Below are 15,892 nucleotides of genomic sequence, written 5' to 3'. Positions count from 1 at the left end.
GTGCTTATTTCACTTAACATAATGATCTTCAGTTCTATCCATGTTGTTGCAAATGACAGGATCTCATTCTTTTTCATGGCTGAATAGTATTCCATTGTGTATATATATCATGTTTTCTTTGTCCACTTATTTATTGATGGACAATTAGGTTGCTTCTAAATCTTGGCTGTTGTGAATAGTGCTGCAGTAAATGTGGGAGTGCAGATATCTTTTTGATATACTGATTTTCTTTCTTTTGGGTATATACCTAGCAGTGGTACTGCTGGATTATAAGGTAGCTTATTTTCAGTTTTCTGAGGAACCTCCAAACTGTTTGTTATAGTGGTTGTATTAATTTACATTCCCAACAATAGTGTACAGGGGTTCTCTTTTTTTCATATCCTTGCCAGCATTCATTATTGCTTGACTTTTGAATCTATACAATTTTAACTGAGGTGAAATGTTATCTCATTGTAGTTTTGATTTGCATTTCTCTGATGATCAATGACATTGATCACCTTTTCACAAACCTGTTTGCCATTTTTATGTCTTCTTTTGAGAAATGCCTATTCATATCCTGTGCCAATTTTTTAATTGAATTATGAAATTTTTTTCTTATAGAGTTGTATGAGCTCCTTACATACTCTGGTTATTAATCCCTTGTCAGATGAGTAGTTTGCAAATATTTTTTCCCATTCTGTGGGTTGTCTTTTCACTTTGCTGATTGTTGCCTTTGTTGTGCAGAAGCATTCTAACTTGGTGTGATCCCATTTGTTCATTTTTGCTTTGGTTGCCTGTGCTTGTGGGGTAAAGAAATCTTTGCCCACTGTAATGTCCTAGAGAGTTTCTCTAACATTTTCTTTTTCTTTTCTTTTCTTTTTTTTTTTCTTTGAGATGGAGTCTTGCTCTGTCACCCAGGCTGGAGTGCAATGGCTCGATCTCGGCTCATTGCAACCTCCACCTCCTGGATTCAAGCGATTCCCCTGCTTCAGCCTCCTGAGTAGCTGGGATTACAGGCATCCCCACCACGCCTGGCTAATTTTTGTATTTTTAGTAGAGATGAGGTTTCACCATGTTGGCCAGGTGGGTCTCGAACTCCTTACTGACCTTAGGTGATCTGCCCACCTTGGCCTCCCAAATTGCTGGGGTTACAGGCGTGAACCACTGCTGCTGGCCTCCCCAGTGTTTTCTTGTAGTAGTTTCATAGTTTGAGGTCTCAGATTTATGTCTTTAATCAATTTAGATTTGATTTTTATATATGATGAGAGATAGAGGTCAAGTTTCATTCTTCTGCATATGGATATTCAGTTTTCCCAGCAGTATTTATTGAAGAGAATATCCTATCCCTAGTGTACGTTCCTGGAAACTTTTTCAAAAATGAGTTCACTGTAGATGTGTGGATTTACTTTTGGTTCTTTATTCTGTTCTCTTGCTCTATGTGTCACTTTTTATGCCAGTACCATGCTGTTTTAGTTACCATAGCTCTGTAGTGTAATTTGAAGTCAGGTAACGTGATTCCCAGTTTTTTTTCTTTTTGCTTAGGATAGCTTTGGCTATTCTGGGTCTTCTGTGGTTCCACATAAATTTTAGGATTGCTTTTTCTATTTTGTTAAAGAATGTCATTGATATTTTGATAGGGGTTGCACTGAATCTGTAGATTGCTTTAGGTAGCATGGATATTTTAACAATATGGGTATAGAAGCAACATACCTCAACATATTAAAAGCCATATTTGACACATCCAAAGCTAGCACCATACCAAATGGGGAAAAAACTGAAAGCCTTTTCTCTAAGATCTAGAACATGACAAGGATGACCACTGTCATCACTGTTACTCAACATAGTACTGGAAGTCCTAGATAGAACACTAAGATAAGAGAAAGAAATTAAGGGCATCAAAATTGGAAAGAAAGAAGTCAAATTTTTCTTGTTTGCAGATCATATGATCTTATATTTGGAAAAACCTAAAGACTCCACAGAAAAACTGTTAGAACTGACAAATTAAGTAAAGTTGCAGGATACAAAATCAGTGGCATTTCCATCTGCGAACAGTGAACAATCTGAAAAATCACAAAGCTAATCTCATTTATAATAGCAACAAATACAATAAAATACCTAGGAATGAACTTAATTAAAGAAGTGAAAGATCTCTACAATGAAACTATAAAATATTGATGAAAGAAATTAAAGAGGACATAAAAATGGAACAATATTCCATGTTCATGGATTGGGAGAATCAATATTGTTAAAATATCCAAATTTCTTTTTCAGCATCAATTGAGATGATCACATGGTTTTTGTCCTCCATTCTGTTGATATGATTGATGTATCACATTGATTGATTTGCATATGTTGGACCATCCTTGCATCCCAGGGATAAATCCCACTTGGTCATAGTGAATGATCTTTTTAATGTGCTGTTGCATTTACTTTGCTAGTATTTTGTTGAGGATTTTTGGATCAATATTCATTAGGGAAATTGTCCTGTAGTTTTCTTTTTTTCATGTGTCTTTGTCTCATTTTGATATCAAGGTAATACTGGCTTTGTAGAATGAGTTTGGAAGTATCCTCTCCGCTATTGTTTTGGAATAATTTGAGTGGGGTTGGTATTAGTTCTTTAAAGGCTTGGTGGAATTCAAGAGTGAAGCCATTGGGTCCCAGACTTTTCTTTGCTGAGAGACCTTTTATTATGACTTTCATCTTGTTTCTTGTTATTGGTTTGTTCAGGTTTTGGATTTCTTCATTGTTCAATCTTTTTAAAAAATTTCCTTTTTGTTTTTTTTGAGATAGGATCTCACCCTGTTGCCCAGGCTGGAGTACAATGATGTGATCACGGCTCCCTGTAGCCTTGTCCTCCTGGACACAGGTGGTCCTCCCACCTCAGCCTTCCGAGTAGCTGGGACTACAAACACACGCCACAATGCCTGGCTAATTTTTGTATGGGGTTTTGCCATGTTGCTCTGGCTGGTCTCAAACTTCTGGGCTCAAGCAATCTGCCTGCTTTTGTCTCCCAAAGTGCTGCAATTAGAGGCGTGAGCCACCATACCCAGCCTATGGTTCAATCTTGATAGGTTGTATGTGCCTAGGAATTTGTTTATTCTGGATTTTTCAATTTATTGGAATATAGTTGGTCATAGTAGCTATTAATGATCCTTTGAGTTTCTGTGGTACTGGTTGCAATGTCTCCTTTTTTATCTCTGATTTTATGTATATGGGTCTTATCTCTTTTTTCTTAGTCTGGCTAAAGGTTTGTCAATTTTTTATCTTTCCAAAAACCAACTTTCTATTTTGTTGATTTTTTGTATTGTTTTCTTTTTTCCAATTTCATTTATTCCTGCTTTAATATTTATTATATCTTTTCTTCTACTAATTTTGAGTTTGGTTTATTCTTGCTTTTCTAGTTCTTTAAACACATCATTAGTTTATTTATTGAAGTTTTTCTTCTTTTTTATTTTTAATTTTTATTGAGGCAAGTTCTTACTCTGCTGCCCAGGCTGGAGTGCAGTGGCATGATCTTGTTTTACTGCAGCCTTGACCTCCCAGTTTCAAGCAATCCTCCCACCTCAGTCTCCTGAGTAGCTGGGACTACAGGTGTGCACCTCTGTACTTGGCTAATTGTCTTGTATTTGTACAGACAGAGTGTCACCATGCTGCTCAGGCTGGTCTCGAACTCCTGAGCTCGAGCAATATGCCTGCCTTGGCCTCCCAAAATGCTGGGATTACAGACATGTGCCACTGCCCCACCCTTTTCTTTTTTGATGTAGACACTTATGACTGTAAATTTCCTTTTTAGTACTGCTTTTGCTGTATCCCATAGGGTTTGGTATGTTGTGTTTCCATTATCATTTGTTTCAAGAAATTTGTCAATTTTCTTCTTAATTTCTTTATTGACCCACTGGTCATTCAGAAGCATATTATTTAATTTCAATGTGTTTTTATAGTTTCCAAAATTCCTCTTGGCATTGATTCCTAGTTTTATTCCATTATGGTTAGGGAAGAGAAGATATTTGATATTATTTCATTTCTTGAATGTTTTAAGACTTGTACTGTGGGCTGGGTGCAGTGCCTCACGCTTGTAATCCCAGCACTTTGGGAGGCCGAGGCGGGCAGATCACGAGGTCTGGAGATTGTGACCATCCTAGCTAACAAGGTGAAACCCCGTCTCTACTAAAAATACAAAAATTAGCCGGGAGTAGTGGCAGGCGCCTATAGTCCCAGCTACTCGGGAGGCTGAGGCAGGAGAATGGCGTGAACCCGGGAGGCGGAGCTTGCAGTGAGCCGAGATTGCACCACTGCACTCCAGCCTGGGCAACAGAGCGAGACTCTGTCTCAAAAACAAAAACAAAAACAAAAACAAAAGACTTGTACTGTGACCTAGCATATGGTTATCCTTGAGAACAATCCATCTACTGAGAAGAATGTGCATTCTATAGCCATGAGATTAAATGTTCTGTAAATATCTACTAGGTTCACTTGGTGTGTAATGCAGATTAAGTTCCATATTTCTTTGTTGATTTCTGTCTGAAAGATCTGAAATTGAGGTGTTGACATCTCCAGGAATTATTGTATTGGGGTCTATCTCTCCCTCTAGCTCTAATAATACTTGCTTTATATATCTGGGTATTCCTATAGTTGTTACATCCTCTTGCTGAATTGACCCCTTAATAATCATATAATGACATTCTTTGTCTCTTCTTATGGTTTTTGTCCCAAAATCTATTTTGTCTGATGTGGGTATAACTACCATTACTCTTTTTTGGTTTCCATTGACGTGGAATATCTTTTTACATCTCTACTTTCAGTCTATGTGTGTCTTTATAGGTGAAGTGTGTTTCTTGTAGGCAGCAGATCATGGAGGCTTGTTTATTACTATTATTATTTTTATTTTACTTTAAGTTCTGGTATACAAGTGCAGAATGTGTAGGTTTGTTACACAGGTATACGTGTGGCATGGTGGTTTGCTGCACATGTCAAATCATTATCTAGGTTTTAAGCCCTACATGTATTAGCTATTTGTCCTAATGCTCTCCCTCCCCTCATCCCCCACTCCCCGACTGGCCCTGGTACATGTTGTTCCCCTCCCTGTGTCCATGTGTTCTCATTGTTCAATTCACACTTATGAATGAGAACATGCAGTGTTTGGTTTTCTATTCCTGTGTTAGTTTGCTGAGAATGATGCCTTCCAGCTTCATCCATGTCCCTGCAAAGGACATGATCTCATTCCTTTTTATGGCTGCATAGTATTCCATGGTGTATACATATCACATTTTCTTTATCTAGTCTATCATTGTTGGGCATTTGGGTTGGTTCCACATCTTTGTTATTGTAAATAGTGCTGCAATAAACATATGTGTGCATGTGTCTTTATAGTAGAATGATTTATAATCCTTTAGGTATATACCCAGTAATGGGGTTGCTGGATCAAATGGTATTTCTGGTTCTAGATCCTTGAGAAATTGCCACACTGTCATCTACAATAGTTGAACTAATTTACATTACCACCAACAGTGTAAAAGCATTCCTTTTTCTCCACAGCTTTGCCAGCATCTATTGTTTCTTGACTTTTTAATCATCACTGTTCTGACTGGCATGAGATGGTATCTCATTGTGGTTTTGATTTGCATTTCTCTAATGATCAGTGATGATGAGCTTTTTTTCATATGTTTGTTGGCTACATAAATGTCTTCTTTCAAGAAGTGTGTGTTCATATGCTTTGCCCACTTTTTGATGTGGTTGTTTGTATTTTTCCTGTAAATTTGTTTAAGTTCCTTGTAGATTCTGGATATTAGAGTTTGTCAGATGGGTAGATTGCAAAAATTTTCTCCCATTCTGTAGGTTGCTTATTCACTCTGATGATAGTTTATTTTGCTGTGCAGAAGCTCTTTAGTTTAATTAGATCTCATTTGTCAATTTTGGCTTTTGTTGTAATTGCTTTTGGTGTTTTCATCATGAAGTCTTTGCTTATGCCTATGTCCTGAATGGTATTGCCTAGGTTTTCTTCTAGGGCTTTTATGGTTTTGGGTTTTACATTTAAGTTTTTAATCCATCTTGAGTTAATTTTTGTATAAGATGTAAGGAAGGGTCCAGTTTCAGTTTTCTGCATATGGCTAGCCATTTTCCCCACACCATTTATTAAATAGGGAATCATTTGCCTGTTGCTTGTTTTTGTCAGGTTTGTCAAAGATCAGATGGTTATAGATATGTGAGGTATCTGTTCTGTTCCATTGGTCTATATGTCTCTTTTGGTACCAGAACCATGCTGTTTTGGTTACTGTGGCCTTGTAGTATAGTTTGAAGTCAGATAGCATGATGCCTCCAGCTTTGTTCTTTCTGCTTAGGATTGTCTTGGCTATACAGGCTCTTTTTTGTTTCCATATGAAATTTAAAGTACCTTTTTCTAGTTCTGTGAATAATGTCAATGGTAGTTTGATGGGAATAGCATTGAATCTATAAATTACTTTGGGCAGTATGGCCATTTTCATGATATTGATTCTTTCTATCAATGAGGATGGAATATTTTTCCATTTGTTTGTGTTCTCTCTTATTTCCTTGAGCAGTGGTTTGTCAGTACTCCTTGAAGAGGTCCTTTACACCCCTTGTTAGCTGTATTCCTAGGTATTTTATTCTCTTTGTATCAATTGTGAATGGGAATGGGAATTGTGAATGGGAGTTCATTCATGATTTGGCTGTCTGTCTATCGTTGGTGTGTAGGAATGCTTGTGATTTTGCATATTGGGCTGAGATGCTGGGGTTTTCTAAATAGTCAATCAGGTCGTCTGCAAACAGAGACAATTTGACTTCTTCTCTTCCTATTTGAATACGCTTTATTTCTTTCTCTTGCCTGATTGCCCTGGCCAGAACTTCCAATACTATGTTGAATAGAAGTATTGAGAGGGGGCATCCTTGTCCTGTGCCGGTTTTCAAAAAGAATGCTTCCAGCTTTTGCCCATTCAGTATGATATTGGCTGTGGGTTTGTCATAAATGGTTCTTAGTATTTTGAGATATGTTCCATTAATACTTAGTTTATTGAGAGTTTTTAACATGAAAGGATGTTAAATTTTATCAAAGGCTTTTTCTGCATCTGTTGAGATAGTCATGTGGTTTTTGTCAGTGATTCTGTTTGTGTGATGGATTATGTTTATTGATTTGTGTATGTTGAACGAGCCTTGCATCCCATGAATGAAGTCGACTTGATCATGGTGGATAAGCTTGTTGATGTGCTGCTGGATTCAGTTTGCCAGTATTTTATTGAGGATTTCTGCATCAATGTTCACCAGGGATATTGGCCTGAAGCTTTCTTTTTTTGTTTTGTCTCTGCCAGGTTTTGGTATCAGGATGACGGTGGCTTCATGAAATGAGTTAGGGAGGAGTCCCTCCTTTTCAATTGTTTGGGATAGTTTCAGAAGGAATGGTACCAGCTCCTCTTTGTACCTCTGGTAGAATTTGGCTGTAAATCCATCTGGTCCTGGGATTTTTTTGGTTGGTAGGCTATTAATTTCTGCCTCAATTTCAGAGCTTGTTATTGGTCTATTCAGGGATTCAACTTCTTCCTGGCTTAGTCTTGGGCAGGTGTATGTGTCCAGGATTTTATCCATTTCTTCTAGATTTTCTAGTTTATTTGCACAGAGGTGTTTATAGTTTTCTCTGATGGTAGTTTGTATTTCTGTGGGGTCAGTGGTGATGTCTCCTTTATCTTTTTTTTATTGTGTCTATTTGATTCTTCTCTCTTTTCTTCTTTATTAGTCTAGCTAGCAATCTATTTATTTTGTTATTTTTTTCAAAAAACCAGCTCCTGGATTCACTGATTTTTTTGAAGGGCTTTTCATGTCTCTATCTCTTTCAGTTCTGCTCTGATCTTAGTTATTTCTTGTCTTCTGCTAGCTTTTAGATTTGTTTGCTTTTGCTTCTTTAGCTCTTCTAATGTGATGTTATGGTGTTGATCTGAGATCTTTCTAGCTTTCTGATGTGAGTATTTAGTGCTATAAGTTTCTCTTGTAACACTGCTTTAGCTGGGTCCCAGAGATTCTGGTACATTGTTTTTTTGTTCTCACTAGTTTCAAAGGACTTTTTGATTTCTGCTTTAATTCCATTATTTACCTAGGAATCACTCAAGAGCAGGTTGTTCAATTTCCATGGAGCTGTGTGGTTTTGAGTGAGTTTCTTAATCCTGAGTTGTAATTTGATTGCACTGTTGTCTGAGAGACTGTTTGTTATGATTTCGGTTCTTTTGCATTTGCTGAGGAGTGTTTTACTTCCAATTATATGGTTGATTTTAGAATAGGTGCAATGTGGCACTGAGAAAAATGTACATTCTGTTGATTTGGCATGGAGAGTTCTGTAGATGTCTATTAGGTCCGTTTGATCCAGAGCTGAGTTGAAGTCCTGAATATCCTTGTTAATTTTCTGTCATGTTGATCTGTTTAATATTGACAGTGGGGTGTTAAAGTCTCCCACTATTATTATGTGGGAGTCTAAGTTTCTTTGTAGGTCTCTAAGAACTTGTTTTATGAATCTGGGTGCTCCTGTATTGGGTGCACATATATTTAGGATAGTTAGCTCTTCTTGTTGAATTGGTTCCTTTACCATTATGGAATGCCCATCTTTATTTATTTTGATCTTTGTTGGTTTAAAATCTGTTTTGTCAGAGACTAGGATTGCAACCCCTGCTTTTTTTTTTTTTTCTTTCCATTTGCTTGGTAAATGTTCCTTGGTAAATTTTTACAAAAAATCCATGCAGCTACTCTATGTCTTTTGATTGGAGAGTTTAGTGTATTTACATTCAATGTTATTATTGATAAGAAGGAAAGAAGGAGTTACTCCTGCCATTTTGTTATTTGTTTTCTGGCCTTTTTCTTCTTTCCTTCCTGCCTGTCTTCCTTTCAGTGAAGGTGATTTTCTCTGGTGGTATGATTTAATCTTTTGTTTTTTATTTTTTGTGTATCTGTTGTATGTTTTTTGATTTGAGGTTACCACAAGGATTGCAAATACTATTTTATAACCCATTATTTTAAACTAATGACAACACTGCCTGCACAAACAAACAAGGAAAACGAAAACTAATAAAAACTCTACACTCTAACTCTGTCCCCCTGCTTTTTAACTTTTCCTTGTGTCTATTTATATCTTATTGTAATGTCTACATGTTGAAAAGTTGTTGTAGTTATTATTTTTGATTGGTTCATATTTAGTCTTTCTACTTAAGATATGAGTAGTTTACATGCTACAGTTAACAGTGTTAACGTTATTTGTGTTTTTCTGTGCTTACAATGACCAATGAATTTAGTACCTTCAGATGATATATTGTTGCTCATTAATATCCTTTCCTTTCTGGTTGAAGAGCTTCCTTTAGCATTTCTTGTAGGGCAAGTCTGGTGTTGATGAAATACTTCAACTTTTGTTTGTCTGGGAAAGTCTTTATTTCTCCTTCATGTTTGAGGGATAGTTCCACTGTATATATTATTCTAGTGTAAAAGTTTTTTTCCTTCAGCACTTTAAGTATGTTATACCACTCTCTTCTGGCCTGTAAAGTTTCCACAGAAAAGTCTGCTGCCGGACATACTGGAGCTCCATTGTATGTCATTTGTTTCTTTTATCTTGCTGCTTTTAGGCTATCATTTTTATCCTTGACCTTAGGGAGTTTGATTATGAAATGCTTTGATGTAGTCTTATTTGGGTTAAAGCTACTTGGTGTTCTATAACTTTCTTGTACTTGCATATTGATATCTTTCCCTAGATTTGGAAAGTTCTCCATTATTATTTCTTTTGTTGTTGTTGTTTTTGAGACAGGGTCTTATTCTGTCTCCCAGGCTGGAGTGCAGTGGCACAATCTCATCTCATTGCAACCTCCAGCTCCTGGGTTCAAGTGATTCTCATGCCTCAGCCTCCTGAGTAACTGGGATTACAGGCGCACACCATCTCGCCTGGCTAATTTTTGTATTTTTTCGTAAAGATGGGGTTTCACCATGTTGGCCAGGTTGGTCTTGAACCCCTGACCTCACGTGATCTGCCTGCCTCAGCCTCCCAAAGTACTGGGATTACAGGTGTGAGCCACCATGCCCAGCCCGTTGTTTCTTTGAATAAACTTTCTACCCCTATCTGTGTCTTTATCTCCTCTTTAAGGCCAATAACTCTTAGATTTACCCTTTTGAGGCTATTCTCTAGGTCTTCAAGGCATGCTTCATTCTTTTTTCTTTTGTCTCTTCTAACTGTATATTTTCAAATAGTGTGTGTTCAGGCTCACTAATTCTTTCTTCTCTTTGACCAATTCTGCTATAAAGAGACTTTGATGTGTTTTTCAGTATGCCAATTGCATTTTTCAACTCCAAAATTTCTGTTTGATTCTTTGAAGTTATTTCAATCTCTTTGTTAAATTTATCTGACAGAATCTGAATTCCTTCTGTGTCATCTTGAATTTCTTTGAATTTCCTCAAAATAGATTTTGAATTCTTTGTCTGAACAGTCACATGTTTCTCCAGGTTGGTCTTTGGTTCTTTATTTAGTTTGTTTGGTCAGGCCACTTTTCTTTGATAGTCTTGGTGCTTATGGATGTTAATTGGTATCTGGGCATTGAAGAATTTTGTGTTTATTGCAGTCTTCACTGTCTGGGCTTGTTTGTGCCTGTCCTTCTTGGGAAGGTTTTCCAGGTATTCAAAGGGACTTGGGTATTGTGATATAATGTCTGTATTAGGGGCACCCCAAGGCCAGTAATACTGTAGTTCTTGCAGATTCATAGAGGTACTGCCTTGGTTTTGGATAAGGTTTGGAAGAATTCTCTCAATTACCAGGAAGAGACTCTTGTTCTCTTCTCTTACTTTCTCCCAAACAGAGTGTCTCTCTCTCTCTTTCTCTCTGTGCTGAGTCACCTGGAGCTGGGGTGGGTTGACATGAGCAATTATGTAGCCACCACCATTGGGACTATGTTGGGTCAGACCTTAAGCCAGCGTAGCATTGGGTCTTGCCCAAGGCCTGCTGTAACCATTACATGGCTATCACCTATATTTACTTAAGGCTTTAGGGATCTACAATCAGCAGGTGGAAAAGCCAGACAGGCTTGTACCATTCCCTTCAGAGCCACGAGTTCCCCCAGGCCCTGGGTGGACCTAGAGTTGCCTTCAGGTCAATAGGCTCCCCTCTAGCCCAGGACATAAAATGCCATCCAAGAGTCAACACCTGGTATCAGGGACTCCAAGAGACTGCCTGGTGCTCTACCCTACTATAACTGAGTTGGTACTTAAGGTGCAAGACAAAGTTCCCTTTACTTTTCTGTCTGCTTTTGTCAAACAGAAGGAGTCTTTCATTATAGCCACCATAGCTGGGAATGTGCTGGGTTTCACCTGAAGCCAGTACAGCTCAGAGTCTCATCTAAGGTGTATGACCTGGGTATTACTGCTCATTCTTCAGAGCCCAAGGGCTCTGAAGTCAGCAGGTGACAATGCTGCCAGGACTGGGTCCTTCCCTTCAAGGCAATGGGTTCCCTTCTGGCGCAAAGTGTGTCTAGATATGTTGTCTGAAAGCTAGGGTCTGAAAGGGGGACCTTGCAACTCTGCCTTGTGCCCTGTCCTACTGTGGCTGAGCTGATATCTGGGATGCAAAACTCCTCTTTAATCCTCCCTCTCCTCTGTCAGTAGAAGGAAGAAGCTACTTTTATTACTGCAAGCTGGAGAGCCTTGGGTTGTGGGAGGGGTGGTGCAGGCCCTCCCTTAGCTGCCTTGGTTGGTGTCTCACTAGGTTGCTTGCCCCCAACATCCACTGGCTCTGAGCCCAGCACAACACTAGCAGTTGCCTAGGAACTGCAGTCCTTGTGGCCAAGACTGCCTTTCAGGTTTATTTAGAACCCCAGAGCAGTTTAGCCTGTGGTAGCGAGGCTTGTCAAAACTCAATTTCCAACAACTAGGATGGGCAATTCTTCTCTTGCTAGGGTTGGTTTACATGGTCCCTCCGTTGGTGGGCATCAGCTGAGTTTAGCCTGGTTTTGCTTTCTGCCATGATATGGCAGCACTGAGTTCAATGCAGGGTCCCACAATCACTGGGCAATCTCCCTGTCCCAAATGCATGGATTCTCTGTGCCACATGGCTGCTATCAGGGGATGGGGAGGAGTGGCATCAGTGATTCAAGACTGTCTTTCCTACTCTCTTCAGTGCCTCCTTCAGCAATATGAAGTTAAAACCAGGTGCTGTGATTGCTTATGTGACTTTTTGTTCTCATGAAGGTGCTTTTTTATGTGTAGATAGTTGGTAAATTTGGTGTCCCTGAGTGGGGGATGATTGGTGAAGGCTTCTGTTCAGCCACCCTGCTCTGCCCTCTTGTGATTTTTTTTTTCACATCCAATATCTTTTTGATCTTCTTAGCAGTTGATAAGGTAAGCAGACAGATGGTATTATCACCATTATGGATGTAAGGAAATCTGTGTCTAAAACTCTGAAATGGCTTCTTACTGCACCTAAGATAAAGTTCAAAACTGTCCCTCTGATGTACAAGGCCCTGTGTGATATGGCTTGCTCCCAATCTCCTGTGTCTCTACTATTCTCTTGTTATGTAGCCTTCCTTTAGTTCTACGAACATACTAAGCTTCTTCCCTTTATGGAATTTTCAAGTATAAAGTTCCTTCTGTCTATAAATCTCTTTCCCCCTTTTTATCTTGCTAAGTTTCATCTGTTCTTTATGTCTCAACTTAAATGCCATTTCCTCAAGAAATTTCAGGCATCCTAGGCTAGGTTAGGGCCTTCTGTTCTACACACTCATGACACTGTGGCTTTACTCTTCAGAACACATATCGCAATTGTTAGTCAAACAATTATTTATAACATGACTTGTTTAATGTCTGCTTTCACCATTAGGTTATAATCTTTATGAGGATTGGGGCTGCCTGTCTTCCTTATTCTTTCTGCTCAGAATTAAGTGCAATTTCTGAAACACCCCACCCCAAGCACTGCACCATATTTGTTAAATGAATAAATAAAGTGAGTAATACAAAGTCACATAAAAAAGCTAAACTAAGACGTCTAGATTCCTCGTTAAGTAGTTCTACTACACCAAGTGTATGAGGCAGCAGATTGATAATATTGATGATGTGAAGTTTTAAGAATTTATAATTATTTCTCAGTAGAAACTGAATGAAATAGTAGGCAATGAATTTTTATCATTTTATGAAAGAAGAAAGATATAAAATTTAAGAATAATGTTGATTTCATAGAATGGGAAAATATGTTTACAACATAATAAAACAGCTATTTAAATAAATAGCTACAAAGATATAGAGTATAGGTATTTATATGGTCTAGATGAATTTTTAGTTTTAACATGAGTTTTTGAAAGAACTTGGAAATTGAAATTGTGGATTAAACATTAGGGCAGCCATGTGAGTTTTGTTTTTCAAAGTTCTAAAATCTTAGTTTATAAAAAGCCTTTGCATCCAGGTGTGGTGACATGTGCCTGTAGTCCCAGCTATTTGGGAGGCTGAGGCAGGAGAATCAGTTGAGCCCAGGAATTTGAGGCCATAGTGAGCTATGATTGCACATGTGAATAGCCATTACACTTCAGTCTGGACAACATAGTGAGATCCCATATCTAAAAAAAGCTTTCGTTGTAAAAAGAGTATATCAAGGAAAGATTGCCCACGCTAGGTACAGCTGTTACAGGTCAGATTCTCTGGGAAGAAAGTTCAGAGATTAGCATGCAGAAATTTTACTAGGGAATGTTCTTGGATCAACACCTGTAAGGGAATGAAGAATGCAGGATGATTGAGAGAGAAAATTTGAGCTGTATTGTAGTCACAACAGATATCTCAGCTGAATCTCAGGAACTATGGAGCTAAAATGGCCCTGGGCCAAGGGCAGTGAGCCTTTGTAGCCCTGTATTGATCAGTCATTTGATGCCAGTTGCCCTGGGAAGGGAGCATGACATTGGAAGAGGTGGCTCTCATTAGCTGAGGGCAATATCTCGAGGAACGATCAGCTGTGAGCTGTCCATCAGTAATAGTCATGGTAGCTGGGGGAATGAGTGTGTCTGGCCTGAAGCGAAGGGGTGATCTGGATAGCACATTAAAATGTCTATTAAAGTTTACTGCTTGTGCTGCTCAGATCCCTTTGCTGGTAAAAGTTCTGGGAACAACTCCTTCAGGGTTTTGGTGGATTTCTTTTCTGGGTGAAAACTTTTAAGATTACTGGGATGTATCCCACTGCTACAGCTGGTCTTCAGACTGGACAGAATCCAGCTCATGGTGGACAGTCCTGACAACATGGTTATTTACTGTTCTGTGGACCATGCCTCCATTTCCACCAGGGCCCAGTAGCATGTCAAGAGCTGTGTTTTTTGGAAGGTACCTAATTTTCCATTGCTGGTTGTATGCCTTTGCTCTAGAATGCTAGCATTCTTTTTTTTTTTTTTCTTTTTTGAGACGAAGTCTCGCTCTGTTGCCCAGGCTATAGAGTGCAGTGGCACGATCTTGGCTCACTGCAAGCTCTGCCTCCTGGGTTCAAGCAATTCCCCTGCTTCAGCCTCCCGAGTAGCTGGGACTACAGGCGCCTGCCACCACGCCCAGCTAATTTTTGTATTTTTAGTAGAGACGGGGTTTCACCATGTTGGCCAGGATGGTCTTGCTCTCTTGACTTTGTGATTCACCCACCTTGGTAAAATGCTAGGATTCTTTTTTTTTTTTTTTTTTTTTTGAGATGGAGTCTTGCTCTGTTGCCTAGGCTGGAGTGCAATGGCACGATCTTGGCTCACTGCAACCTCCGCCTCCTGTGTTCAAGCGATTCTCCTGTCTTAGCCTCCTGAGTAGCTGGGGTTACATGTGCCCACCACCATGCCCAGCTAATTTTTGAATTTTTAGTAGAGACGGGGTTTCGCCATGTTGGTCAGGCTGTTCTCGAATTCCTGACCTCGTGATCCGCCCACCTTGGCCTCCCAAAGTGCTGGGATTACAGATGTGAGCCACCATGCCTGGCTGAATGCTAGAATTCTTAATTGTGATTCCCATATCGTGGCTTGCTATGAACTCCACACAGTGTTTTTTCCCATCACAAGCACCTGTAAGCCCATAGAGTCTGTTGTGTTCTATTGCCCAAGTGGCAGGACTGTTTGTGTCATGACCTGGACTTGCTGCAGAACCCTTTCCAGCATTGGGCTGCCTTTAAAATTGTCAGCCTTTCATGCTTTCTGGTATATAGGTTAGAGTAATATTCTCAAGTGTAGAATATGCTTCCTCCAGAACTCAAGAGGCCTGCCAGACATTTTACTTCTTTCTTTGTGGTGGGAGGCAGGAGATGCAATTTCTTCTTTTATTTTGAGAGGATGTCCCAGGATGATCCCAGATCATTGGACCCTCTCCCAATATTTTACTGATGTTGCAGACCTTTTAATCTTTGTAGGGCTTACCTCTGCCCATCAGAGTGATACATTTGTTTTTAACATAATATCAAATTTGTATTTTCTTCATAATAAAGCAAAAGATGATTCTTAGAACTGGATATCACTTGGCCCTTTATCTTCTTATTTCCTCCCAGTTCAAAATGCTTGCATCTCTTCATAGCCAGCATTCTCTTAGATCTGCAGTTGGTCTCAACACACTGAAGCCTCAGCACAATCTTCTTTGTACTTTTAGCCTTTTGTAGAAAACCAGCTTAGTCTGCCCACCATAGCCACTCTGCTTCCTGTCATAATGCCACTTTTCCTGGGCATATGGAGAATCCTTGCCCTTCTTCTACTGTATCACTTTGTGGGATTGGTGCTTGCCACACTTCTTACAGAATGTCGGGTGGGTTTTAAGAATGTTTGCCATGTTTGCTGGAGCAATATCAGCACGGAAAGCCAAAGTGTTATATGTTTTACTAAAGCTTCCAACATACTTGCTACTTCTCGATATTCTGGTCCAATTTACATATCATTGATATGGCAGACCAATGTGATGCTCT

At 39.1% G+C, this 15,892-nt stretch overlaps 1 long non-coding RNA gene and 1 pseudogene across 1 annotated transcript in view; one reads left to right on the top strand and one right to left on the bottom strand.

Annotated features, from left to right (window-relative positions):
• PKN2-AS1 (PKN2 antisense RNA 1) overlaps positions 1–15,892 on the top strand; it is a 147,692-nt gene that overhangs the window by 91,566 nt on the left and 40,234 nt on the right. The gene's annotated exons all lie outside the window — the stretch shown is intronic.
• RPL36AP10 (ribosomal protein L36a pseudogene 10) lies at positions 15,351–15,794 on the bottom strand (annotated as a pseudogene).

Source organism: Homo sapiens, chromosome 1, assembly GCF_000001405.40.
Source record: "Homo sapiens chromosome 1, GRCh38.p14 Primary Assembly".
Classification (NCBI taxonomy): Eukaryota; Metazoa; Chordata; class Mammalia; order Primates; family Hominidae; genus Homo; species Homo sapiens.
Note: the sequence above shows the minus strand (reverse complement) of the source record. Positions and strands in the feature narration are given on the sequence as shown.